This window comes from Homo sapiens, chromosome 15, assembly GCF_000001405.40.
Source record: "Homo sapiens chromosome 15, GRCh38.p14 Primary Assembly".
NCBI classification, from domain to species: Eukaryota; Metazoa; Chordata; class Mammalia; order Primates; family Hominidae; genus Homo; species Homo sapiens.
Window position 1 is genome coordinate 84,770,637 of NC_000015.10, and position 27,502 is coordinate 84,798,138.

Consider the following 27,502-nt stretch of genomic DNA (forward strand, 5'->3'; position numbering starts at 1 on the left):
TATAAAAAATGAAGAGTTTGGACTAGACCGGTGCAGTGGAATCACCTGGGAAGCTTTAAAAAAAAAACAACCAAAAAGCAGGAATCCATCCTAGACATATTGAATCAGAATTTTCATGGTGGAGCCTGTGTATCTGTATTTTTAAGTCATTCCCCATGTTACTCTTTTGCAGTCTGTCCAGCAGCGGCCTTCAGACAGGCATTTGGAAGCCCCTGGACCAGATAGTTTCCAAGGGCCCCTTCAGCTTTAACATCTTATGAGTCTTGTTAGAATGTTCGCAGTATAATTCTGTCCTTGAAATCTTTGGTTGGCGTGGAAAAGGCATGGCAGGGGGAGAGGAGAAGCTGCCTTTGGGTGAAGGACACCTTGCACAGGGCAAGCAGGGGCAGGTACATCAGCCAGGGGGTTGAAGAGACATCCAGGAATGGCTCCGGGAGCAGTGGGAGCAGTGACAACTCACCTGCCATGGGGAGCCAGGTGTGTTAGGTCACGGAAATAGAGGGGAAAGACATGACCCCCACACAGGAGAGGCTCACATACTGATGGGAAGGACTGATGAGAAAACGAATGATTCCAGCCCCCTGTGAGAAGTGCTGCCATAGAGGAAGAGAGGCTTGGGTGTCAGGAGAAAAGTGGAGCAGGAGGAGGGCAGAGCACTGGAGTTGCAGTACTCAGAGAAGGCATCAGAAGGGGACCCTGGAGCTGAAACTTGGGGATGAGGAGTTCTTAGGTTTGTGTTTGAGGCCCTGGTGGGTTGGGGTATCAGGTATTCTCTAGTCAGGGGGATAGCTCAAACCCTGGCAGAGAGGCACGAGAAAGTGTGAGAGAACCACCACTGGGGTCAGAATGAAAGGTATCCTGGCAAGTGGCTGGAGAGGGGCAGAGACCACATTGGAATGCATCCTCCATGAGAGGCTGAAGGGACATCTTGGTGATCAGATGTATGTTTCACAGCAAATTTTATGGCAACATGTGCATTAGAGGGGCTACACTAAGTGGAGGAAAGACAAGTAAAAAACGTTTTTTTTGTTTGTTTGTTTTTGCCTGAGCCCACTGGGGCAGCTGTTTCTTACGTACTGCTGAGAATCTCTTTGGGCCATTTTTTTTGCCACTGGCTTGAATAGCAGGTGCCTCATGAAATGAAACATTGGCCATTGACTGATTCAGAACATCTGAGACTTGGAGTGATATAGACCTATAAGCAGGCCTCAGATGTGTATTCAAGAGGCCAGTGAGATATATACGCCATGGAGTCTGCTTGTCCACTTTAGCAGTTAATTTTTATGTAGAAATCCCTAAGATCTAGATTAATTTGCCCAGCTGTTGCAGCCTAACCTGTTCAAGGACTCAGAGATCCTTAAAGTTAGTTTAATTTTACATACTAAACCAATGCCTACCTAAGGTCTTCACACAAGTAACTATTGATACCATAGGAGTGAAAGCCAATTCCATGTGGTCACAATTCCTTATTCTTTTAGCTATACCATTCCCAATCTGGGGCTTTGTTCTGGGTCCAGGAACATGAGCCTCTTTTTTCTGTTTCCTCTGATCCTACTGAAGTTTCACTAAGTTCCCTTCACTACCGTAACCCATGGAAGTGGTGTCTCGATGATTAATGTTCCTGCTTGAGTTCAGGCGAGGCTCCTGCACGTCTTGGGAGCAGCAGCTTACTCTTGAACTTGTTTGCTCATTCTGACTTTCCCCTTGTCTGCTTCCATTCCTGGTATAACATAGGGAGACCCTGTCTCTACAAAAATAAAAAAACTGGCCAGGCGTGGTGGTGCACACCTGCATCCCCAGCTACTCAGGAGCCTGAGGCGAGAGGATCACTTGAGTCCAGGAGGTGGAGGCTGAAGTGAGCTATGATCACACCATTGCACTCCAGCCTGGGCAACAGAGTGAGACCCTGTCTCAAAGCAAACAAATAAATAAATAAAAACTCTTAATTACAAGCAATAATGCAACACAAATGATATCAGTATTTAAGCCATAGTCAGTCATGTGGGGGAGCAGGGTTGAGAGTTCACCCACAGGTTGTGAAACATCCATCCTTCCTTCCTTCCAGTCCTAATACAACGAACAATGGCAAATTCAAGAAAACTTTTTTTTTTCTCTCTCACAGTTCAGCGTTCCTTAAATCATGCTGCCTTTAACTTTCATTTTATAAATATGCAAGCTTTTATTTGCTTCCTTGTCTTATTAAACAGAATATATTAACTAGAGATCAAATTTTTCTTAATGCTTTTTGGAGTCCCTCTGCCTCCTTAATGTCCTGTTACTGAACTTTTATTAATCTACTATTACTGAACTTAGCATTGCTGAGGTAACAGATGGCAAAGTTTAATGTTATTTGAAATTTGAAGGCTTTATGCAGGGGGGAAAACCTCATGGGTTCAGTGTTAAGTCCTTGTTCTTAGTTCCTCAGAGCCTTTTTTATTTTTAGATTTGAATATGTGAATGTTACTACATTTATATATTTTTTTAAAGTGATAATTCAGGATATTTTCTGACAATAGATAAAATCATCTTTTGTCTACATCTTTTATTTCTTTTTTTAACAAGTCACCACCCACCAGGGTTTTTTTTTTTTTTTGAGACGGAGTCTCGCTCTGTCGGCCAGGCTGGAGTGCAGTGATGCGATCTCGGCTCACTGCAAGCTCCGCCTCCCGGGTTCACGCCATTCTCCTGCCTCAGCCTCCCGAGTAGCTGGGATTACAGGTGCCCGCCACCAAGCCCAGCTAATTTTTTGTATTTTTAGTAGAGACGGGGTTTCACCATTTTAGCCAGGATGGTCTCGATCTCCTGACCTCGTGATCCACCCGCCTCGACCTCCCAAAGTGCTGGGATTACAGGCGTGAGCCATCGCGCCCGGCCCCCACCAGGGGTTTAATTCTCTTAGTAAAAAGGCCAGTTCAGAGAGGGGCCCTGTCTTGTCCCCATCCAGGGGAGAAGATCTACAGAGCACCCTGGGAATGTCCAAGCCCAGTACATATTTTATTTCAAACTTCAAAATACTGCCCTCTTCTCTCTAGTATTATGAGGTTTGATGAACAAACCTATAAGTTAGTTATACTTTCCCCTTTCTCCTAAATTTTCATCTCTCCAGAAAAAAAAAAATAGAGCTCTAATTTTTAGGGTCTCATTAGAAAGCCCTTTCATTTACTTTACAACTTCAATCTCTGAGATTTCGCAGGACCTCTTCCAACTCTGGTATGTTTTTCTTGAGGTATGGGGAACCAAAACTGCACAGCACACGTAGCTATGGACACACAGTGGTTTTGAATAAGGGCAGGATCACAAGTTCTGCTTTGCTTAGAGTGTTCTTTCTGATAATGCCTAGCATTTTCTGGGCCTTTTGTGATGAAACATGCGATGTGGTATCTTAAGGGAACAGTCTAAGCTGATTGAACAGTGTAGCTTAAAATCCATTATTCTAAAAGTATAATTGGTATTGCTTTTCCCTGAATGTTCCTTCACATTTGCCTTCACTGATGGTCACTTGCTATAATTTTGCCTATTTATGCAGCCTCATGAGAACCTGTCTTTTAATTTTGCTTTTTGATTAGGAACAGCTTTAAGGCCATTTGCAAATGAAGGTTTTACTTTATTGCTTCTACAAATACTTATTGAGTACCTAATGGGGAATCCAGTGATGAATGAAATAGATAAGCCTCTTCCTTCATGAAACTTACATCCTAACATTCTTCTGCTAGATTATTGGGTCCCAAAGCATTTATATAATTATGAAGACTTCCTTTTTAAAATAAATTTTTCATGAGTCCTTATTCAGCAGTGGTGTGTCTAATGGCTGGTCCTTGAGCACACATATCTGGAGGTGAAGCTGGGTTCCCTTATGGGTTGGAAACCACCATTCTAGGTAATTTATGAAAGCATAAATCACTAGTCCAAAATTAGTCAATGGGTTAAAAGCTCTGTTTATATTTCCCCATGAATGGGAATTACATGAAGACATATATACGGATGCACACAGACAACATACATTCACCCAAGTTTTATGGAAGTCAGTTGTTATTTTGTTCTGTTTTTTTTTTGGTGGGATCTTAGCATTTAAAGTCTGTAGAAATTCTGTCTACTAGTCTACTAGTTCTGCCATAATTATATATAATCATACTGGTTTTTGTTTGTTTGTTTGTTTGTTTTTTGAGACAGAGTCCACTCTGTTGCTCAGGCTGGAGTACAATGGCGTGATCTCGGCTCACTGTAACCTCTGCCTCCCAGGTTCAAGCAATTCTCCTGCCCCAGCCTCCCAAGTAGCTGAGATTACAGGTGTACACCACCACGCCCAGCTAGTTTTTGTATTTTTAGTAGGGACAGGGTTTTGCCATGTTGGTCAGGCTGGTCTTGAACTCCTGACCTCAGGTGATCCACCTGCCTTGGCCTCCCAAAGTGCTGAGATTACAGGCATGAGTCCCAGCACCTGGCCACTGTTTTCTTTTTCTTTTTCTTTTTTTTTCCTAAGATAGGGTCTCGCTCTGTCACCTGGGCTGGAGTACAGTGGTGCAATCTTGGCTCACTGCAACCTCTGCCTCCCTGGTTCAAGCGATTCTCCGGTCTCAGCCTCCTAAGTAGCTGAGACTACAGACATCTGCCACCATACCTGGCTAATTTTTGTATTTTTGGTAGAGACAGGGTTTCACTGTGTTGGCCAGGCTAGTGTCGAACTCCTGACCTCAAGCGATCTGCCCACCTCAACCTCCCAAAGTACTGGGATTACAGTCATGAGCCACCGCATCCAGCTAATCATACTGGGTGTTGTTGTTGTTGTTGTTGTTGTTGTTCTGTTTTGTTTTTTTGAGACAGAGTCTCGCTCTGTTGCCCAGGCTGGAGTGCAGTGACGCGATCTCAGCTCACTGCAACCTCCACCTCCCGAATTCAAGAGATTCTCCTGCGTCGGCCTCCTGAGTAGCTGGGTTTGCAGGTGCACACCACCATGCCTGGTTAATTTTTGTATTTTTAGTAGAGATGAGGTTTTGCTATATTGGCCAGTCTGGTCTCAAACTGACCTCAAGTGATCTGCCCACCTCGGCCTCCCGAAGTGCTGGGATTACAGGCATGAGCCACTGCGCCCGGCCGAATCATATTGTTTTTATACCCTCAAATAATTCCAATAGGGTGATTCGGCATGCTGAGGCCCTTTCAAAACTAAGATGCTCCTTACCCACATCTAGTTGATATGTTTACTTAAATGTTTGGTAAAATTTTCTGGGCAAAGTAGTAGACTCTGTAATAAACAATATGAATTTATATTCATCTTTAAAAAATATTTCCAGATATTCCCTAGGTAGAAACTTATTCTGAGAGAGGGTATAGTTGTCAATCTGCCAGTCTTAGAGTTGTTCTTTACCCCCAAGGGGACTGTTCATATTGTTACATAATTCCACTATCTCACCTTTGAGTGAAATTTACTCTCAGCCTAGGCCACCAAACCAGTGATCCTGCCTTGCCTCTTGACTAGGCTGTTCTAGATCACTCAGTGAGCTTACCAGGTCTGGATCTATCTAGCTCGTTCAGATGCTTCAGGGTGAGCCTCTGACAAAGGCTCTGTAGGCCAGGCCATGGTTCCTGGGCTGGTGTTCATGGACATGGCTCTGGTCCCTGAGTGACTGCCCCCAGGCAAGGTAGGCAGCTGCCTGTGGTTTGCTCTTCTCAACTTTGGCTTGCTGCTTCCAACAGGTTATAGATACTGGTGTATGCTGAAACTTTTTATTTTGACTATACCTTTTATTTTAACTAAGTTATTCTGTTGATTTTCTAACTAGCATTTCCCTGGTGATCCATGTCAGATGTGCTTTAAGAATTTTACATTAATGATTTTTGGCTGGGTGCAGTGGCTCATGCCTGTAACCCCAGCACTTTGGGAGGCCAAGGTGGGTGGATCACATGAGGCTAGAAGTTTGAGACCATCTTGGCCAACATGGCGAAACCCCATCTCTATTAGAGATACAAAAATTAGCCGGGCATGGTGGCACACATCTGTAATCCCAGCTGCTCAGGAGGCTGAGGCACAAGAATCCCTTTAACCCGGGAGGTGGAGGTTGCAGTGAGCCAAGATCATGCCACTGCACTCCAGCCTGGGTGACAGAGCAAGACTCTGTTTCAAAACAAAACAAAACAAAACACCTGGTAGCTCACGCCTGTAATCTCAGCACTTTGGGCGGCCAAGGCCGGTGGAATACGAGGTCAGGAGATCAAGGCCACCCTGGCTAACATGGTGAAACCCTGTCTCTATTAAAAATACAGAAAAATTAGCTGGGTGTGGTGGTGCGTGCCTATAATCCCAGCTACTCGGGAGACTGGGTTGGAAGAGTCGCTTGAACCTGGGAGGCGGAGGTTGCAGTGAGCTGAGATCACGCCATTGCACTCCAGCCCAGGAGACAGTGCGAGAAAAAAAAAGAAAGAAAAGAATGTTATATTATTTTTAGAGTCTTTTGTAAGAAGCTCCTTAAATTTTTTGGCCTGCCTAGTTTCTTCTATTTTTTTTCCTTTTTGTATATTAAAAATATAATCAAAAAAATTTTTACATTTAAAAAAAAGAGGGGCTGGGCGCAGTTGCTCACGCCTGTAATCCCAGCACTTTGGGAGGCTGAGGTGGGTGGATCAGTTGAGGTCAGGAGTTTGAGACCTGCCTGGCCAACATGGCAAAACCCCGTCTCTACTAAAAATACAAAAATTAGACGGGCGTGGTGATGCATGTCTGTAGTCCCCACTACTTGGGAGGCTGAGCAGGAGAGTTGCTGGAACCCGGGAAGTGGAGGTTGCAGTGAGCCGAGATCACGCCACTGCATTCCAGACTGGGTGACAGGGCAAGACTCCGTCTCAAAAAAAAAAAAAAAGAAAAAAAAAAGAAAGGCATGGGGTCTCACTATGTTGGTCTTGAACTCCTAGGCTCAAGCGGTCATCCCACCTTGTGGGAAAATAATAACCACCAAAGTGCTAAAAATAATGAAGTTATGTAAATAATACAATTTGAAACATAGTTTGAATAATTTTAAAATGAAGATAAACAAAAGAGAAAATAATTTCGTCTGTTGAGATACTTTTTTTTTTTTTTTTTTTTTTTGAGATGGAGTCTAGCTCTGTCTCCCAGGCTGGAGTGCGGTGGCACGATCTCAGCTCACTGCACGCTCCGCCTCCCGGGTTTACGCCATTCCCCTGCTTCAGCCTCCCGAGTAGCTGGGACTATAGGCGCCCACCACCACGCCCGGCTAATTTTTTTGTATTTTTAGTAGAGACGGGGTTTCACCGTGTTAGCCAGGAGTCTCCAACTCGTGACCTGGTGATCCGCCCGCCTCGGCCTCCCAAAGTGCTGGGATTACAGGCGTGAGCCACCGTGCCCGGCCTAGATACTTTTAACATTTGGAATATTCTTGTAATGTAACTCCATTCTGGAGTATTTTTTCTAGTCTGTCCATTTGTCTTTCTTCTTTTAATTGCCTGCTCATCACCCTCACTCATTTTTCTAATGGGTTGCTTATATTTTACTTATTGCTTTGTAAGGGCTTTTTGTTTTTGTTTTTGTTTTAAGGAGCGGAGAGTTTAATAGGCAAGAAGGAAGGGAGAAGACAGAAGGAAGACGCTCCCCCGTACGGAGACAGAGGGAGGGGGGGCTCCAAAGCCGAAAGAGGAGGTCCCTACCTGCCACGGATACCAGTCAGGTACACATGCAGAGGCTGGAGGAGGCGGTGTTTGATTTGCATAGGGCTCAGGGGATTGGTTTGACTAGGCATGTAATTCACGTAGCCCGAGAAAAAGCTGGCCCTCCCACCCTAGCTTTTTAATATGCAAATGCAGGTTGACACGACGTTCTACACTCGTGAGGTTATATGGGGTTGGCCATGTTGCCAGGAACATGTAGGGAAAGGGCAAGAAGGCCGTGGGAATCTCCATGTTTGGGTGGACCCAGTTTCTAATGGCCGACTTGCATATCAAAGGTTGCTGGCCTGGCTCTAAGAGCCGGGGCTTTACAAGAAACTTTTCCTGAGATGCTTTAAGGCTTCCCAATGACCCCTTTTCCTACAACATTTCCCCCTGTGGAGATGCTACACTAACTGCTGTTAGGGGGTTTTGGGCGATGACTCTTTCTGGCTACTTCCTGCTGAAAAGGGGCGTCAAATGGAGAACAGCAGCTAGGGCTCTTCCTGGGGTTGATCTAAGGGTCCTCGGAAGAATGGCGTGTGCATGTGTGGTTCAGTTTATAGCATCATTTGGAGTTTGATTGCAGTCTGATGATTGAATTTCTTTTCCTGGCCCATGAACCAAAATGATACGGCTCTGATGAGTGGAGGAACACCAGGGTTCTTGGTCCTCATGCCGGTTTAGAGAAAACAACAGGGACACACGTGGAGTGGTTTTAAGGAGTGGAGCATTTAATAGGCAAGAAGGAAGGGAGAAGACAGAAGGAAGAAACTCCCTTGTAGAGAGACAGAGGGAGGGGGGCTCCAAAGCCGAAAGAGGAGGTCCCTCTATAAGGGCTTTTTATGTTTTAATTAAGATATTAATGATAATAACTATATGTTGCAAATATTCCTTTTGATTTGTTGTTTGCCTTTTAACTTTGTGCTGGCAGGTTTTCGGTAAATAGAACTTTTTTATTGGTTGTCTTTTTCTTTACAGTTTCTTCTTTTGCTTTTATAACGGTACATTTTGATTAATTTCTATTTAAAAACAATGTGATGCTTTAGAGCAAGGTTCAAGTAAATATAAACATGTAGGTACATGGTAGAGTACCTTATTCACAGTTATTGATTGCTGCTGTTTTTGGTTTTTCTTACTGGGGCTAAATAGAAAACAGGATGTGATCTTTGGCTTTTAAAGGCTTTCAGCTTTGGCATTTAAAACATTTATTATTATTATTAATGTTTCTTATTCTTTTTAAAAATAGAGAGAGTCTTACTATGTTTCCCAGGCTACTCTCAAACTCCTGGGCTCAAGTGATCCTCCTCCCTTGGCCTCCCAAAGTGCTAAGATTACAGGTGTGAGCTACTGTGCCTGACCTAAAATCTCTATAAAAGTTTTTTTTTCTGCTGCTAATATTGAGCTCTCACACTATTTACTAGCTCTGATTTTCCAGCAAAAGATACTTACTTTACTTCTGACCATTCTCAGTCAATCCCTGAGATTTCTCTATGAGGAGAGCTTTACTTCTGATCTAATCTTTCTCTGCTTCAAGCCTCTGCAACTTCATATTAGATAATAGCAGGCTCCCAGCTAATCCTTAGACACACAATCAACTTCTCCTCCTCTTCTCCCACATGCTTTTTCCAGCTCCTTAATGAGAGCTGGAAAATCTATTCTGCCCTTTCCCCTCAATCTTTTTTTCCTAGACAGTTTTGTTTTTTTTTTTTTTTGAGTTGGAGTCTTGGTCTATTGCCCAGGCTGGAGTGCAGTGGCAAGATCTCGACTCACTGCAACCTCCTCCTCCTGGGTTCAAGTGATTCTCCTGCTTCAGCCTCCCAAGTAGATGGTACTACAGGCGTGTGCCACCACACCCAACTAATTTTTGTATTTTTAGTAGAGATGAGATTTCACTATGTTGGCCAGGCTGGTCTCAAACTCCTGACCTCAGGTGATCCACCTACCTCAGCCTCCCAAAGTGCTGGGATTACAGGAGTGAGCCACTGCGCTTGGCCTTTCCTAGACATTTAGAAGAAAGAAAGAACAAAAAAGAAATTAAAAAGAAGCTTATAAAGCAAATATCATGCAGGAGTTTCCTTATAGTTATGATCACCCTGCCTAGTAGGTCACTTGGTATTGAGTGCCCACTGTTTTCAGTGACATCCAGTATGTTCCCCTTGTTTATGGGTTCCAACACCTCCTGTTCCAAGAGACAAACATTCGTTCTGTTCAAAACTTTGTATCTCATTCCAGTGGGGTATTCTGCCAACCCATGTTTAGGTAATTGGTATTGTACTTTATTATTACCATAATTAGATATCTTCCCAATGGGAGGGAGTGAGTTTTCATTTTCTGTGAGAACTCATATGCAGGCAGATGTGTTTTGCTGGGAGTTGGGAGTGGGGCAAGAAACCAAACCTGGAAACCTGTTGATCCCACGGGGTGGTAAGAGATATACCTCTGCTATGCCACCTGCTGCCTTGTGGTTCTGAGTGGGTTTTGTTGTTGTTGTTGTTGTTGTTGTTATTTTTCCTTTAAAAATTATAAAAGCAATCTATCAGCCCCCTAAAAAAGTTTTGAAAAAATAACCCAACAGTAATTCCACTAGTCTGCGTAATCATTTTCATTTTTTAAAAAATCTTGGCTCAAATGCACGCGTAGTTTTACATTGTTATAGTCTGACAACATTTTTGTATTAGTCTTTTTAAACTTGACATTATAAATAATTTTCCTTGTTGCTATATAGATTTCATAATGAGAATTTTTATTATTTATTTATTTATTTATTTATTTTGAGATGGAGTTGCTCACTCTGTCGCCCAGGCTGGGGGCAGTGGTGCGATCTCTACTCATGGCAACCTCCACCTCCTGGGATCAAGTGATTCTCCTGCCTCAGCCTCCGGAGTAGCTGGGATTAAGGCGCCCACCACCACGCCTGGCTGATTTTTGTATTTTTAGTAGAGATGGGGTTTCATCATGTTGGCCAGGCTGGTCTTGAACTCCTGACCTCAAGCTATCCACTCACCTTGGCCTTCCAAAGTGCTGGGATTATAGGCAAGAGCCACTGCGACGGGCCCTTAATGAGAATTTTTAATGACTGCGTTATAGTCTATCAAGTATTTTTTTTTTTTTTTGGTCTTAGACATTTAAATTATTTTTGTGTGTATGTCTCCCTTTTGTGCTTTTTAAATAATGCTGTAACATATACTTTTGCATGTAGTTTTTGAGAATTTTTGTTCTTAGGATAAATTTCTGGAAGTGGGGTTCCTGGACCTAAAGTTTGCCACTTTTCTGGTTCTATGAAGCTACCATACTGCTTTCTGAAAGAATTGTGCCAATCTGCATCCAGAAAGGTTTTCAACATAAATGTGACGTAAGAAACACTTAAGCCAGTAAAGGCCCTGGAATGCTGAAGCAGATGCAGGACTTAAAGGGAGATGGTGAGGTTTTTCTTCTCCCTCCAGCAGGTTTGAGCCAGCCAGTTTCATGTTTCATCTGAAGTGTGAGTTTTATAAGAATTTCCTAATGGAAGGTCTCTCTAGGGCCTTGTGTTTCCTCTGTTGCAGTAGTTCTGTAGCTCTGCTTTCCCAGATCATGAAGGAGACAAGTATATTAATTTAAAATAGAATTATTATCCTATTCTTTGTATATTAGTCAAAATAGAATTTAGGCTTCCCCCAAACTGTCACTTGGCCAATTTGATAACTGTTGGTACTTTGCAAGTCACCCTGTTCCTCAGGTTTAATGGAGGAGCATTCACCAACTGATAACAGTTTTAGGGTGAAAAGGAATCAAGTGTGTCTGCTGAACAGAGAAAAAATACCTAGGGATGATATAATTTTCTAGAGTTTATTCATGAGACAACACAAATAGCAAATCATTTTGGATTTGATTGAATTTATGCAGAAAGAAACCCCAAAGTTATATAAAGTTAGTGAGTAATTACTAAGAGTAAATTAGCAGAAGTTATAGCCAGGTTTCATGTATTAATCAGTAGTTTTCTAAAGGCTGGAAGTGCTAAGTGGCTTTTTGCTAGTGCACATGATCGTGGAGGGATGATATTCCCTGAGAAGCTGAGGGAGTATGGTAGGAGTATACTCTCTGTGGCTTTGTAATAACCAGCCACCAATTTCCAGGTACTGAGGTTTAAGATCATCCAGGCAGGCTTGTTGCTACATTTCACTACTCTTTCCATCTCTGCCCCCACCTCTCCAGCATTTTAGAAACCTGTTGGGGTAAAACTGAGGTGTGTGGCTTCCTGTCATAGTATGTGGGGTTCTGCATGGGTGTGCTGGCTGTGTGTGCATTAGTTTGATGGGTGTGTAGTGAAGATGGTCCAGTGGGACCCTGGTGGTCACTGATTCTGTTTTCTGTTTCTGTTACAGCCCTTGCCAGCATCCAGCCATGGGGGATATGAAAACCCCAGATTTTGATGACCTTCTGGCTGCCTTTGACATCCCAGACCCCACCAGCCTTGATGCCAAGGAGGCCATCCAGACACCCAGTGAGGAGAATGAGAGTCCCCTCAAACCTCCAGGCATATGTATGGATGAAAGTGTGTCCTTGTCTCACTCAGGATCAGCCCCCGATGTGCCGGCCGTGAGTGTCATTGTCAAGAACACCAGCCGCCAGGAGTCATTTGAAGCGGAGAAAGACCACATTACTCCCAGTCTCCTACACAATGGATTCCGGGGCTCAGATCTGCCTCCAGATCCCCACAACTGTGGGAAATTTGATTCTACTTTTATGAATGGAGACAGTGCCAGGAGTTTCCCTGGCAAACTGGAGCCTCCCAAGTCAGAGCCATTACCCACCTTCAACCAGTTCAGTCCAATCTCCAGCCCAGAACCTGAGGATCCCATCAAAGATAACGGATTTGGGATAAAGCCCAAACACTCTGACAGTTATTTCCCACCCCCTCTTGGGTGCGGGGCTGTGGGAGGCCCAGTCCTGGAGGCTCTGGCTAAGTTTCCGGTTCCAGAGCTGCATATGTTTGATCATTTTTGTAAGAAAGAACCCAAGCCAGAACCCCTGCCCTTGGGGAGCCAGCAGGAACACGAGCAAAGTGGGCAGAACACAGTGGAACCTCACAAGGATCCGGATGCCACTCGATTCTTCGGGGAAGCTTTGGAGTTCAACAGCCATCCTAGCAACAGTATTGGAGAGTCCAAGGGGCTTGCCCGGGAGCTTGGTACCTGCTCATCAGTCCCCCCTAGGCAGCGTCTAAAGCCAGCTCATTCCAAGCTGTCCTCTTGTGTGGCAGCCTTGGTGGCCTTGCAGGCCAAAAGAGTGGCTAGTGTCACTAAGGAGGATCAGCCTGGCCACACAAAGGATCTCTCAGGGCCCACTAAAGAGAGTTCTAAAGGTAGCCCCAAAATGCCCAAGTCACCAAAGAGTCCCCGGAGCCCTCTGGAGGCCACTAGAAAAAGTATCAAGCCATCGGACAGCCCTCGTAGCATCTGCAGTGACAGCAGCAGCAAAGGCTCACCGTCTGTGGCTGCCAGCTCCCCACCAGCAATTCCCAAAGTGAGAATCAAAACCATTAAGACATCATCAGGGGAAATCAAACGGACTGTCACAAGGATCCTGCCAGATCCTGATGATCCAAGTAAGTCCCCTGTTGGGTCACCTCTAGGGAGCGCCATTGCAGAGGCCCCCAGCGAGATGCCAGGGGATGAGGTGCCTGTGGAAGAGCACTTTCCTGAGGCAGGCACAAATTCAGGGAGCCCCCAGGGGGCCAGGAAAGGGGACGAGAGCATGACAAAGGCCAGTGACTCGTCATCTCCCAGCTGCAGTTCTGGGCCCCGGGTCCCAAAGGGGGCTGCCCCAGGCTCACAGACAGGCAAGAAGCAACAGAGCACAGCACTGCAGGCATCCACCCTGGCCCCTGCCAACCTCCTGCCCAAAGCCGTGCACTTGGCCAACCTGAACCTCGTCCCCCACAGTGTTGCTGCATCAGTGACAGCCAAGTCTTCAGTGCAAAGACGGAGCCAGCCACAGCTTACACAAATGTCGGTGCCCCTGGTCCACCAGGTGAAAAAGGCTGCCCCACTGATTGTAGAGGTCTTCAACAAGGTCCTTCACAGCTCCAACCCCGTGCCCCTCTATGCGCCAAATCTCAGCCCGCCTGCGGACAGCAGGATCCACGTGCCGGCCAGTGGGTACTGCTGCCTGGAGTGTGGAGACGCATTTGCCTTAGAGAAGAGCCTGAGCCAGCACTATGGCCGGCGGAGCGTCCACATTGAGGTACTGTGCACACTGTGCTCCAAGACGCTGCTCTTCTTCAACAAGTGCAGCCTGCTCCGGCACGCCCGTGACCACAAGAGCAAGGGGCTCGTCATGCAGTGTTCCCAGCTGCTGGTGAAGCCTATCTCTGCGGACCAAATGTTCGTGTCGGCCCCTGTGAACTCCACGGCACCAGCAGCCCCAGCCCCTTCATCCTCTCCCAAACATGGCCTCACTTCGGGCAGTGCCAGTCCCCCTCCTCCAGCCTTGCCACTCTACCCAGACCCTGTGAGGCTCATCCGGTACTCAATCAAGTGTCTTGAATGTCACAAGCAGATGCGGGACTACATGGTCCTGGCTGCACATTTCCAGAGGACAACAGAGGAGACAGAGGGGCTGGTAAGCAGACCCTCACTGTTACGGGTATCGGGCCCCTGGCTCACACAGGTTCCATGACTGGGCATGGAGAGGAAAGCTCATTGATATGGGGGCAGTGGTGGAATCTTATGAGTCTTAGAAGAGGATGTCTGCCTGAATATTTAGTGTTTGGTGTTTGTTGGAAAAGGTGTCCTGCCCATACTGAGGTGAGACCCTAATTTAGCAAGTGTATTTACGGACGTGTCCCGTGTTCCACTCAACTTCCCCTCAAAGGGTCTGTCAAGGCCCAGTGTCAGGCCCGAGATAGGTCTTTACTGGATGATCTCCCTCTGGTCTCTGGCAGGTGTCAGCACAGTCTTAGCATGTGACCAAGGAACTTGGGGACAGAGATAGCTGAGTCACTGCCCCTGCACCTCAGTCTGTTCTAAGAACTTTGTCTTTTTTTTTTTTTTCTTGAGACGGAGTCTCACTCTGTCACCCAGGCTGGAGTGCACTGGTGGGATCTCAGTTCACTACAACCTCTGCCTCTGGGGTTCAAGTGATTCTTATGCCTCAGCCTCCCAAGTAGCTAGGACTCCAGGCATGTGCCACCACGCCTAGCTAATTTTTGTATTTTTAGTAGAGACAGGGTTTCACCATGTTGCCCAGGCTGTTCTTGAACTCCTGGCTTCAAGTGATCTGCCCACCTCAGCCTCCCAGAGTGCTGGGATTACAGGCGTGAGCCACTGTCCCCAGCCAAAGAACTGTGTCTTTAATAAGTTGTTGTTCTGCCCTGCAGTGACACAGCTGTTCTTGCAGAGTCCTTTTGTGGAAACTGCAGTAGGGCCAATGGCAGGGCTGGGATAGGAGGAAGGAGAGTGGACAGACATGTGGGGCCTGTGGCAGAGGTTTATGGAGCCTCCTTCTTTCAACTGCGTTCTCACCACTCCAGGAAAGCAACTGTGCTTGTCTGCTTGTTTTGATTCTTGGTTATGCTTGATGAGATTCATTTAAAAAAAAAAAAAAAGCCTTCTGCGCTGAGAATACCCTTTGGCACCTTCTGTGTCTATGTTATGTGTTAGTGGTTTCTCTGAAGAAAGAGGCCTCCAGAAGGTGGTTCTCTTCATGACATAGCCAGACCCACCCCTCATGGTGCTTCCCTAAGCTGGTGCTACAGAGGCCTGGGAGGAAAGTAAAACAGCTCTTTTTGCTTCAGTTCAGCCAGGGTTCTGTGCATGTGTTGGTAGCTGTTGAGCTTTGCATGTGTTCCCTGAGTGCCCACTGTGCATGGGCTGGGGGTCTATGCCAACCAGGGGATGCCGGCAGAAGGGAGTCTAACCTTCAGGAGCTTACAGTGGCCTAGCAAGGGCAGTGGTCACCACCCAAACAGCTACAGTATATGGCCAACTGAGAGTGGGGCTAAACCAAGGTTATAAACTTAGTTGCGCAGAGTGCCCCAGAGGGACTAATTCACGATGACTCCATGCGTAAGGAAGATGCTGTGTGGAGGTGAAATTTAAGTTGGGCTTGCAAGGATGAGTTTGGAGGAGTAGGAGGGGCAAGGGTGTTTTGAGTATAGGGAGCAAAGGAATATGAGAGTGCAGAGTGGGTTTGAAGAAGAGGACATTGTTATGCATGAGGCTGGTCTTGGAAATATTAGGGTAGAGGTCAGAGGTTGAGTTTGGCGGGCCTGTAGGGCTTCTGCAGAGGACTCAGCCCCCCAAAGGGGCCAGAAGGTGCTATAGGATCCCACTGTGGCCTCTCATCTCCTCCTGCTCTGTTTCAGTTTGCATTTTTCTTCTGATGCGTCAGATGGGGTGTGGGCACTCTGGGTCTCTTCCCCTGGGGCTTCAGTGTTCTTGCTGCCCCAGCATGGTTGAGTTGGGCCAGGTTTACTTTATCTGAGTCAAGGGGCCATGAGGAGGCCCCATGGCAGTGGAGGTCTGATGCCTGGGCCTGGGATTTTTTCACACTGGTCCTTACGTATCTTTTTTTTTTTTTTTTTTTTTTTTTGTGAGACGGAGTCTTGCTTTGTTGCCCAGGATGGAGTGCAGTGGTGCGATCTCGGCCCACTGCAGCCTCTGCCTCCTGGGTTCAAGTGATTCTCCTGCCTCAGCTTCCTGAGTAGCTGCGACTACAGGTGTGCGCCACCATGCCTGGCTAATTTTTGTATTTTTAGTAGAGATGGAGTTTTGCCATGTTTGCCCAGGCCGGTCTTGAACTTCGGACCTCAAGTGATCCACCTGCCTCGGCCTCCCAAAGTGCTGGGATTACAGGCATGAGCCATCACACCCGCCTCCTTGTGCATCTTCTAAAATTTGAGTAGGCAGAGGTCTGGGTGTAGGATCCCAGGCTGGCATGGCACCTTTCTCATCTTACATCCTCTCTGTGTCATTCTGCCCTAGTGGGAGCTGGAGAAGAGCACCCGCCGACAGGAAGGGAAGGAGTGCACAGAAGGCTATCAGGCCTCTCTCAGCCAGCTCCAAATCCCTCACAAAATCTCATGCCACTCATTGTGGCTTCTGAGTCTCAGGGAAAGGGTGAGCCCTGAGCTATGGGATTAAAAACTAGGCTTGATGGCTGCTGGGCTTGGGTTTTCCACAGGACAGTATCTAGCTTCAGCCCATGTGTCCAGGGCAGGGGGTGGACAGATAGTTGGGCTCCACACCACAGCAGGGACTGTGGGAACAGCATCGGTTTGGGATTTCCATCTTCTTCCTGGGAGTCTGCCCCTGAATGGAGCATGCCTCCCTCTGCAGTGACCCAGGGAGTTCTTTCATCCTTCCTCTTGCTTTCCAAGCCACGCTGTTGGGGCAGGATGTCAGCCAGATGGATATTGTCATTCCACCCAACACAATTAATAACAGTCCCTTAGTATTACCTACTACAAGTTCATATTCAGATTTTTCCAGTTATGTCAAAAAATGTCTTTTTACAGTTGGGATTATTTTGAGTCAGGATCTGAACATGGGGCTATACATCACGTTTGTTTATGTTTCATAAATATCTCAGTCTGGAACAGTACCTCTTCCCACTCCATCCTAGTAGGCACCCTCTTTTCATGCCATTGACTTGTTGAAGAAATTGGGTCATGTGTTCTGAGCATTTTCCAGAACAATTCTGGGTTTAACTGATTGCTTCCTAAGTTTTCCAGAACTTTGAGTTTTACTGATTACTTCCTCATGCAGGGAATTTTTTCCTCCATATCCCATATTTTTTCCTGTAGACTGGAAGTAAGCAATAAAAACTTGATTAGATTCAGGTCAGTTTTGATGGAGGGTGGGGGTGGAGGGTGCTGCGTTCTTCCTGTTTCATAACTTAAGGAGGCACAAAGTGCCTGATTGTCTTCACTTTTAATGATGCTGAATTAATGAGAGTGAATTTAGGTGATAATATTCTGATCCCTTCATTGTAAAGCTCCCCACCTTTTACCTAATTATCCATCAGTAATCACTGCTTGAGTCTAATTTTATTGAGTTTCAAAGGATATTTTTCTAATTCTATTGTTTCTTTCTCATTTATTAGCTAGAATTCTGTATAAAGTATATTTTTTGCTTCCGTGAGGGCTATTTGGTTACTCTGAAATATAGTTTACGTTGGAAAATGGGATAATTTGTTTCTTTTAATTAACAGTTCTCAGAGTTGTGAGTTGATACCCTGACAATCTCAATTGGTGTTCTAAGAGTCCCTCTTCTATTTTTTAAAAATTGTGGTAAAATACACGTAATGTAAAATTTCCCATCACAATCATTTTGATGTGTACAGTTCAGTAGTGTTAATGTTAAGTATATTCACACTGTTGTGAAACCAGTCTCCAGAACTCTTCATGTTGCAAAACTGAAACCCTGTACTCGTTTTAAAAAAGAAACAAACAAAAAACAATTCCCATTTATCTTCCTCCTCCCAAGCCCTGGCAACCACCCTTATGTTTTCTGTCTCTAGGAGTTTGACTATTCTAGGTATCTCATACAAGTGGAATCACACAGCATTTATCTTTTTGTGACTGGCTTTTCCATTTAGCATGTCCTCAAGATTCATTTATGTTGTAGCATATGTCAGAATCTCCTTCTTTTTTGGCCGGGCATGGTGGCTCACACCTGTAAGCCCAGCACTTTGGGTGGCTAAGGTGGGTGGATCATTTGAGGTCACGAGTTCGAGACCAGCCTGGCCATCATGGTGAAACCCTGTCTCTATTTAAAAAAAAAAAAACAAAAAAAACAAAACAGAAAACCAAAAAACAAAAATTAGCCAGGTGGTAGTGGTGCGTGCCTATAATCCCAGCTACTCAGGAGGCTGAGGCAGGAGAATTGCTTGAGCCTGGGAGGTGGAGGCTGCGGTGAGCCAAGATCATGCCACTGCGCTCTAGTCTGGGCATCAGAGACCCTGTCTCAAAAAAAAAAAAAAAGTCCCTTCTTTTTTTAAGGCTGAATAATATTCCATTGTGTGTACATACCACATTTTATTTATCCTTTCATCCATTGATGGATACTTGGGTTATTTCCACTTCTTAGCTATTGTGAATAATGTTGCTATGAACATAAGCATAAAAGTGTATCTCTTTGAGACCTTGCTTTTAAGTCTTTTTGGTACACACCCAGAAGTGGCATTGCTAGATCATATGGTACTTCTGTGTTTAATTTTCTGAGATACCACTGTACTATTTTCCACAGTAGATGCACCATTTTATATTCCCACCAACAGTGCCCAAGTGTTCCAGTTTCTCCATATCCTCACCAGCACTTATTTTCTGTTCTTTCAAATAGTAGCCATCCTAGTGGGTTTGAGGTGACCTCCTCTATTAGTTTAAATGTTGTCATGGCTCATTGATTTTTATATATTCAGTATATTTACATATTCAGTCATTCTTTTTAATGCTCATGTTATCCTATCTTTGGTCAGTGGCAAGCCCCTTCGAGCTGGCTTCTATATCCCTCTAGTCAGCTCCTCTGACCCCACATCAGTGGCCACCTCTGTGAGTAGGACAGGTGTCCCCTTTACTAAGAAGTTAAGAAGGGCCTCTCCAGCATGCAGGCACCAGCGAAGTCTTTTACTTTTTCCCTCTGGGCTGGCTGCTTGTCAGAGCTCTGCCCATCAGAGCGTAATTAGTCTGGTTGTAGTACTTGTACTTCCCCTGGTTTTCTCCTGGGGCTGGGAACAAAGGAGCTGCTACCTAATCTGCCCTTGTCTGTGGGTATGTTTGCTTAGCTGTGGCTCAGGGAACCCCCGCCACCCATCCCACCCCCCAACCCCCACCCCCGCAACTCTCCTAACCTGCAGAGTGGGCAAACAGGGCTAGAGCAATGGAAACTGACAAGACCACTCAGTCAGTCTTTATTGAGAGCCTTCTGAGTACCAATCAGGGTGGTCTCAGATCCACTTTGGAAGTCACTGATCCACCTGACTCGAGGTGCTGAGCAGGTCTCTACCAGGCCAATGTTGGGGGTAGATGGCAAGAACTGCCTCTACTGAGCTGTGACAGAGACCCTGGTGGGTCTAGCAGTGCAGTGAGGTCTTAGAATTCAAGATGTGCTTTAGGCCTCTGCAAAGGAAAAGCTGGTCCTCTGCTAAGCCACAGGAAAGAAACACAGTCCTGGGGCGGAACTGGTCTTTGAGAGAATAGGGTCAGGTCTGTCTCTGATTAATAGGGTGTCAGACAAAGCTTGCTTGGGTATCAGTATCAGCACTGGAAATGAGGTCTAGGGGTGTCAGAAGTGTCCAGGAGAGTTGGAAGAGAGAGTGGTTGGGGGAAGGGGTTATTCTGACCCATGTACTAGCAAACCAGACAGCCCTGATTGGAGAGCCACAGGCCTATGGCCCCTGCATGATCTGCTTTCTTGGTGTTCTTTCCTAGACCTGCCAGGTATGCCAAATGCTGCTGCCCAACCAGTGCAGTTTCTGTGCCCACCAGCGGATTCATGCACACAAGTCCCCCTACTGCTGCCCGGAGTGTGGGGTCCTCTGCCGCTCTGCCTACTTCCAGACCCATGTAAAGGAGAATTGCCTGCACTATGCCCGCAAGGTGGGCTACAGGTGGGTGCTGCCTGGCTTGCTGTCCTGGTATTGCCCAATGGCTGGTCCTTTTCCTAAGCCAGAACTCATTTCAGATAGTTTTGGTCTTAAGAGGCTTGGGTTCCAGTCTACACAGGACAAGAGCATTGGATGGTATGTGGACAGACATTTTTTATTTGGTAGCAGACAGGAAGAACAAGAGAGAGAAGAATAAGGAGTTTTAAAAACTTAAATATTAGAAAATTAGCTTTGAAGTTTTGGGGAGATTAGACATATAATACTTTGTCTATTTGGTTTTAAAACGTATGTAAGTTTAATTTGCTCACCAAGTTATGTTTGGCACATTAAATGTAAAGTGCTGTTTCAATAATGAATGTACTAATTACAGTACTTGGAAATGTTTGCAGGTTTTAACAAATGGGGCTGCAAGATGCCAAACTCAAAGGGCTTTAGTATCTTTCTTTTTGTTAATTTTTGTCAGTTTGTGGCAAAATGGGCAAAACCTGAGACTGGAAAAAAGGATCAGCCTCTTGGTAAAACCAAGAAAACTCTTATTTTCAATGGAATTTCCTCCTTTGTGTCAAACATAAGCAAGAAGTCATTTTCAGGGAAAAGATCAAAGTGAGGGAAAAAACTTCCCTCTAGAGCTCATTGATCTGTAAGTTGTTTTCTGCTCTTTGGCATTAAATTTTTTTTTTTGGTTTTAGTTCATTTGACTTTTTTGTGTGTACTTATTATTGTCTTCGGCATTGTGTTAGACACTCAGGATACAAAAATGATTAAGACACAGCCCTTGCCCTGGTAGGTTACAAACATAAGAACATAGGTAATTATAACCCAGAGTGCTAAGTCCCACAATAGAGAAATGGTCAGGAAAGCTTCCTAAAGGAGATATTAGGAGATTTTCAGACAAAAGAAGGGGAAACCATACCTGGCAAGGGCCTGACCAGGAATAACAGCATACACAAAAGAGGTGTCAGGAATGATGAGTATGGTTGTATAGAGGAATGTCAGGATGAATTGTGGGAGTGGGGAGAAATGAGACTAGGGAGTTGGCAGAGGTCAGACCATGCAAGACCTTGTATTTCTTGGCAGACATTTGGACTTTATCCAATGGACAGTGAGGAGCTACAGAAATATTTGCAGCAGGGGAGTGATTTGGCTAGTATATTTTAGAAAGATCATTCTGGGAAGCGAACACATATATTAGTGAGGAGAGAGACTGAAGACTTCTTGAAAGGCAAGTATGATGGTCCAGATGAGATGCTGAGGGCTTCACTGAAGGCATGATCGTGGGAATGGAGAGAAGGTAGATTTGACAGGGGTTTAGGAAGAAGCATCAAGATTTGACAATAGCTTTTATATGGAATGAGGGATGAGGAGTTTGGCAGAGGCGAGGCTAGGCCATGCAAGACCTTATATTTCTTGGCAGGCATTTGGACATTTTCCAGCGGACATTGAGGAGCTACAGAAGGATTTGCAGCAGGGCAGTAATCTGGCTAGTATGTTTTAGAAAGATCATTCTGGGAAGCTAACACGTATATTAAAGTTTTGCAATGACTCCCACATTTCTGTCTTGGGGTAAACATTTTATTTGTATATTTTTTTGAGACAGTGTCTCACTGTCACCCAGGCTGGAGGGCAGTGGTGTGATCGTGGCTCACTGCAGCCTTGACCTCCCGAGCTCAGGTGATCCTCCCATCTCGGCCTCCCAGGTAGCTGGGACTACAGGCATGCACTGCCATGCCTGGCTAACTTTTTGTGCTTTTTGTAGAGAGAGGGTTTCACCATGTTGCCCAGGCTGGTCACATAACTCCTGGGCTCAAGCGATCCTCCCACCTCAACTCCCCGAAGTGTTGGGATTACAGGCGTGAGCCACCGTGCCTGGCATTATAAACATTTAAAAATGTAGACTGATTTCTTTTTCATCTTATGGAGGATGGAGTATCTAAAGTACATTAAAAACAAGACAAACCTAAGACAGGATTATACAAAGCACTTACCACCAAGTTGCTGAGGAGCATTGCTTGGCAGCATCCCAGGCTATATTTTAAACCAAACATCTGAATATGTTTTTACAGTATCCTGTAACACTTAAAAATACCTTTCTAGCCTTGATTTAAGTGTATGCTGCTTGTTCTAAGATCAAATCCAATCCAATAGTAATACAATCAACACTTAAATATTTATCTTTGAATCTTGAATCCAAGAAAAAAAATTTTTTTTTTTTTAAAGATGGAGTCTCGCTGTGTCACCCAGGCTGGAGTGCAGTGGCAGCATCTTGGCTTACTGCAATCTCCACCTCTCGAGTTCAAGCAATTCTCCTGCCTCAGCTTCCTGAGTAGCTGGGATTATAGGCATGTGCCACCACGCTTGGCTAATTTTTGTATTTTTAGTAGAGATGGGGTTTCACCATGATGGCCAGGCTGGTCTCAAACTCCTGACCTCAGGTGATCCACCTGGCTTGGCCTCCCAAAGTGCTGGGACTACAGGCATGAGCCACTGCACCTGGCCCAAGAAATGTTTAATTGTACGGATGGATTAATACTTTTCATTTTTAATTACATATTTTCTTATGTACAAGTAAAAAGAAATGTCTCAAAAGCAGTTCAGTTTATCAAACCTTTTTGTAAGGAATGCCAGACCAAATGAATTGTGACTCAGCGAAAGGGATTACTGAAGATAGCGATATTAAAATTTTCAGTGATCTGCGGTTGAAGTCAGAAGACATACACAACACTACAGTGTTCATAACAGAGTTGTGCAATCACTACAAACAATTTTAGAGCATTTTTACTATCCAAGAAGAAACCTCATATCCACCACTTCTTTCTTCCCCCCTAGCCCTAGGCAATCGCTAATTTACTTTCTGTCTCATAGCTCTTCTGGACATGTCATATAAGTGGAATTATGTAATATTATTAGCATATTTGCAAGGTTCATCCATGTTGTAGCATATATCAGTATTTCATTCCTTATTATGGCTGAGATTCCATTGCGGGGATACACCATGTTTTGTTTATCCATTTGTCAGCTGATGGACCTTTGGGTTGGTTTCCCCTTTTGGCTTCATGAATAATGAATAATATGAATAATGCTGCTGAAGAACATTCATGTACAAGTTATCATGTGGACATGTTTTCAGTTGCTTTGGATACCTAGGAGTAGAATAGCTGGGTCAAATAGTAACTCTGTAGGGAGGGGAACATCACACACTGGGGCCTGTCAGCGGGTGGGGGGCTAGGGGAGGGATAGCATTAGGAGAAATACCTAATGTAGAAGACGGGTTGATGGGTGCAGCAAACCACCATGGCACGTGTATACCTATGTAACAAACCTGCACATTCTGCACATGTATCCCCAAACTTAAAATATAATTTTAAAAGAGGAAAAAAAGTAGTAACTCTGATTAACTTTTTGAGAAACTGTCAGACTATTTTCCAAAGTGACTGCAGCGTTTTTACATCCCCACCAGCAGTGTATCTAGGTTTTGATTTCTGTACACCCTTGCCAACACTTGTTATTGTCTTTTTGATTGTAACCATCCTTATGGGTGTGAAATGGTATCTTGTTTCCCTGATGGTTAACGGTGTTGATCATGTGCTTATTGGACTCCAACTTTTTTTTTTTTTTGAGACAGTCTTACTCTGTTGACCAGGCTGGAGTGCAGTGGCGCTATCTCAGCTCACTGCAACCTCCGCCACCCCGGGTTCAAGCACTTCTCCCACCTCAGCCTCCTGAATAGCTGGGATTACAGACGCCCACCACCATTCCTGGCTAATTTTTGTATTTTTAGTAGAGACGGGGTTTCACCATTTTGGTCAGGCTGGTCTTGAACTCCTGACCTCAGGTGATCCACCGACCTCAGCCTCCCAAAGTGCTGGGATTACAGACGTGAGCCACTGCTCCCGGCCTGGACTCCATCTTCTTTGGAGAAATGTCTGTTCAGATAATTTGCCCACTTCTGAATTGGGTTATTTGACATCTTATAATTGAGTTGTAAGAGTTTTTTATATCTTCTGAATACAAGTTACTTGTCAGATTTGCAAATATTTTCTCCCATTCTGTGGATGTTAATTTTTTTAGTAAATTCTCAAGATACCTATGTTCCATTTTATTGAACTCTACTACAGAGTTTTACAATATTATTTTATGTTTTGTATTATTTTTGCTTTTACTTGATAATGTAAAAAGCCTATATATGGTTATTTATATAATATATAAGTATATAAAATTTATATGTATTTTATGTAAAATATGCATACACATATATTTCAGAATTTCATAAATTATTCTGTTCTTTATTAATAATTTGGAGAATGGCTAATGATGTCATAAGGATGCAAGTTTAGACTGTTTTAATGTTATTTTCTTATTTGTGATTATTAAAGTTAAATATGTTGTTTATTATCTTTTCTAAAACTACATATTTCACAACATATGATTCCATAATTGTCTATCTCGTCTTAAAAAACTGTGGTCAAGTGCGGTGTCATATGGTTGGCACTCTTTTCTGCATACTTTCTCATCAACTTGTAAACACCATTGGATTCAGTCCTTCATTGAGGATACTTTGCATGTGTTCTTACTTTCAATGAGGTTTCTCAAAGAAATGTCTACCAGATACATAGAAGGAGTTTTCAGTAGCATTCGAAAAGAATGTATTTCTACTATTTCTGCAGGAGTTTGGTCAAATGGCACAAATAAAGCCACTTAAGAGATTCTTTACACATATCAGATGTACTTGGCCACTTTGGATGAATGTGGAATTATGTGCTTTTTTCTCCTCATAATACTTTGTAGTGTGGAAATACTTCTGTGTGCTAGAAGTTGGTTTCACTCTTCTGTTTAGCAGGAGAGAAAGGAAAATTAAGTAAGTAACTTGAATAGAAACCCTAATTTAAAGCATATACAAATGTAGTAATGAATGCTCTGTGGAGTTTATCACAAAAAGCTTTCTGGTTCCGTGGGCTGCTCTTCATTGCTAATTAAATTTTCGAAGGTGATTCTCTACCCCTCCCTTCCAATACACACAAGGAAGAAAAAAGATTGTTCAGGATTCTGTGGGGATTTATGTGGGCCGTGAAAATGTATCACGCCTGTAATCCCAGCAATTTGGGAGGCCGAGGTCAGTGGATCACCTGAGGTCAGGCGTTCAAGACCAGCGCGGCCAACATGGTGAAACCCCGTCTCTACTAAAAATACAAAAGTAAGCCGGGTGTGGTTGCAGGCACCTGTAATCCCAGCTACTTGGGAGGCTGAGACAGGAGAATCGCTTGAACCCAGGAGGTGGAGGTTGCAGTGAGCCAAGATTGCACCACTGCACTCCAATCTGGGTGACAAAGCAAGACTCTGTCTCAAAAAAAAAAAAAAAAAAATATATATATATATATATATATATATTTTATATATATATATATATATATATATATAAAAAAACGAAGGGTAACATTCAGGAGTCAAATAATTCTTAAATGAAGGCACGCCTTTTATTTTAGCAAAGCACCTGCCTCTCTTTAGTGCCTATGGGGATGTCAATAATATGAGGGCAGACAGTATTGCAACAAAAGGAAGATAAAAAGGAAGAGCAGAGAGGGAAAAGATGTTTTGTCATGTAGGGGAGACCTATGTGTGTTCTTGGGCAGGAGGAAAGACTGAACACAGGAGAGGGACTAGTAATCTTATGGATGCAGGTTGGCATGGAGGAAGGTCATATTATTCTCTGATATCGATAAAAGGAAAGGCAGTATTTATAGAGAGATGTTGTGAAGTTGAAACAAGTTCCATACGGCCTCAATTTCAGAAAAATGGTTTAAGACAATTGTTTATCTTATTTATGCATTGTAAAAAAAAAATCCACCAAATAAACTCAGAAAATACAAATTGGTAGGGAGAAAAAAAAATGAAAAGTTATCCCCATAGTTCCACCAGGAAGACATCACAGCACTTTTGAGCTGCATGGTCCAGTAGAGTATAGTATAGTACCAGCCATTTGTGGCTACCGGGTGCTTGAAATGTGGCCAGTGCAACTAAGGAACTGAATTTTTATTTTTATTTTTTTGTTATTTAAATAGCCACGTGGCCACATGAACAGTGGAGCTTCCCCCGCTCCCCCCCAAGAGACAGGTTCTCACTCTGTCACCCAGGCTGGAATGCGGTGGCACAAACTCGGCTTACTGCAACCTCTGCCTCCCGGGTTCAAGCAATTCTGCCTCAGCCACCTGAGTAGCTGGGATTACAGGCACGTGCCACCATGCCCACTAATTTTTGTATTTTTAGTAGAAACAGGGTTTTGCTATGTCGGCCATGTCTCATCTTGAATTCCTGGCCTCGTGTGATCCACCCTCCTTGGCCTCCCCAAGTGCTGGGATTACAGGCGTGACCTATCGTGCCCGCCCCAGTGGAACTATTGACCATTCCTTCATCACAGCAAGTTCCACTGGACAACACTATAGAGTATTTCTTCCTGGGCTTTAAGGGTTTTTTTAATGTAGTTGTTGTTTTGGTGACCATAGCATTGCCTGACTGTATGTTTTGTTAAGTGGTCATCCCTACTTACTCATACCAGCCTGTGGGAAGGCATGGGCTTTGTGCAGCCTCCTTCGGAAATTCTTGGACTTCTACAGTTGCCTCACACTTAAATACTGTTTATGCCATTATTGAACCATTTTCTTCCCTCTCCACTTCCACCAACTTCTCTTAGGTAGGCTCAGGTTTTTGGTTTGCAGAATATCCTCTGGCCAGTGCAGGGAAGGTTGGGGTTTCTCCCTTCTGTACAAGGCGTGGCCTTGGGCTTGGGGGCCACTGTGTGGCCACATTGTGCTAGACTGTAGCAAGCAGACCCTCAGGACGTACTTGTCAAGGGTGGAAGTCCAAGTGATTGAGGGAGGGAGAAGGTGCCTGGATAGTTCTGTTCCTCTTCTCCATCCCTCCTCTTGCAGCACCACCTCTGGGTCCAGTACTCCCTATACTCCACCCACACTCACACTACCCCACTTCTGTCTAGGTGCATCCACTGTGGTGTCGTCCACCTGACCTTGGCCTTGCTGAAAAGCCACATCCAGGAGCGACACTGCCAGGTTTTCCACAAATGTGCATTCTGCCCCATGGCCTTCAAGACTGCCAGCAGCACTGCAGACCACAGTGCCACCCAGCACCCCACCCAGCCCCACAGACCCTCCCAGTGAGTGCAGCTCCAGGGCCAGCAGGCCCTGTGGAGCAGAGAGGAGTAGCCTGGGTGCTGTAGGGGGTGGCATAGGGATGGGTGAGGGAGCTG

The 27,502-nt window shown here is 44.7% G+C and overlaps 1 protein-coding gene across 4 annotated transcripts in view, besides 4 other annotated features; it reads left to right on the forward strand.

Annotated features, from left to right (window-relative positions):
• The window catches only part of ZNF592 (zinc finger protein 592), a 57,854-nt gene that overhangs the window by 22,045 nt on the left and 8,307 nt on the right, over positions 1-27,502 (forward strand). For 2 of the 4 annotated variants that reach the window (NM_014630.3, XM_011522246.3), the window contains exons 3-6: positions 7,547-7,676; positions 12,021-14,259; positions 20,069-20,247; positions 27,233-27,409. In NM_014630.3, the coding sequence (NP_055445.2) occupies positions 12,040-14,259; positions 20,069-20,247; positions 27,233-27,409 (2,576 nt within the window). In that variant the 5' untranslated portion in view covers positions 7,547-7,676; positions 12,021-12,039. The remainder of the gene's footprint in view (positions 1-7,546; positions 7,677-12,020; positions 14,260-20,068; positions 20,248-27,232; positions 27,410-27,502) is intronic. The other 2 variants (XM_005254996.4, XM_011522247.3) reach the window with 1 other exon arrangement.
• Positions 3,335-3,414: an enhancer, noted in NCBI's record as "active region_9993". NCBI's record gives its function as "activates an Ori minimal core promoter by ATAC-STARR-seq in GM12878 lymphoblastoid cells {active_cell/tissue: GM12878}" and the evidence as "EXISTENCE:reporter gene assay evidence [ECO:0000049][PMID:35858748]".
• Positions 11,864-12,451: an enhancer, noted in NCBI's record as "H3K27ac hESC enhancer chr15:85325731-85326318 (GRCh37/hg19 assembly coordinates)". NCBI's record gives its function as "activates a minimal SCP1, AML or CMV promoter by ChIP-STARR-seq in primed H9 embryonic stem cells {active_cell/tissue: H9 hESC(primed)}" and the evidence as "EXISTENCE:reporter gene assay evidence [ECO:0000049][PMID:30033119]".
• Positions 12,452-13,039: an enhancer, noted in NCBI's record as "H3K27ac-H3K4me1 hESC enhancer chr15:85326319-85326906 (GRCh37/hg19 assembly coordinates)". NCBI's record gives its function as "activates a minimal SCP1, AML or CMV promoter by ChIP-STARR-seq in primed H9 embryonic stem cells {active_cell/tissue: H9 hESC(primed)}" and the evidence as "EXISTENCE:reporter gene assay evidence [ECO:0000049][PMID:30033119]".
• Positions 17,541-17,710: an enhancer, noted in NCBI's record as "experimental_41909 CRE fragment used in MPRA reporter constructs". NCBI's record gives its function as "activates a minimal promoter by MPRAs in K562 erythroleukemia cells, with activity observed for both the introgressed and non-introgressed 15:85331493 variant alleles {active_cell/tissue: K562}" and the evidence as "EXISTENCE:reporter gene assay evidence [ECO:0000049][PMID:34662402]".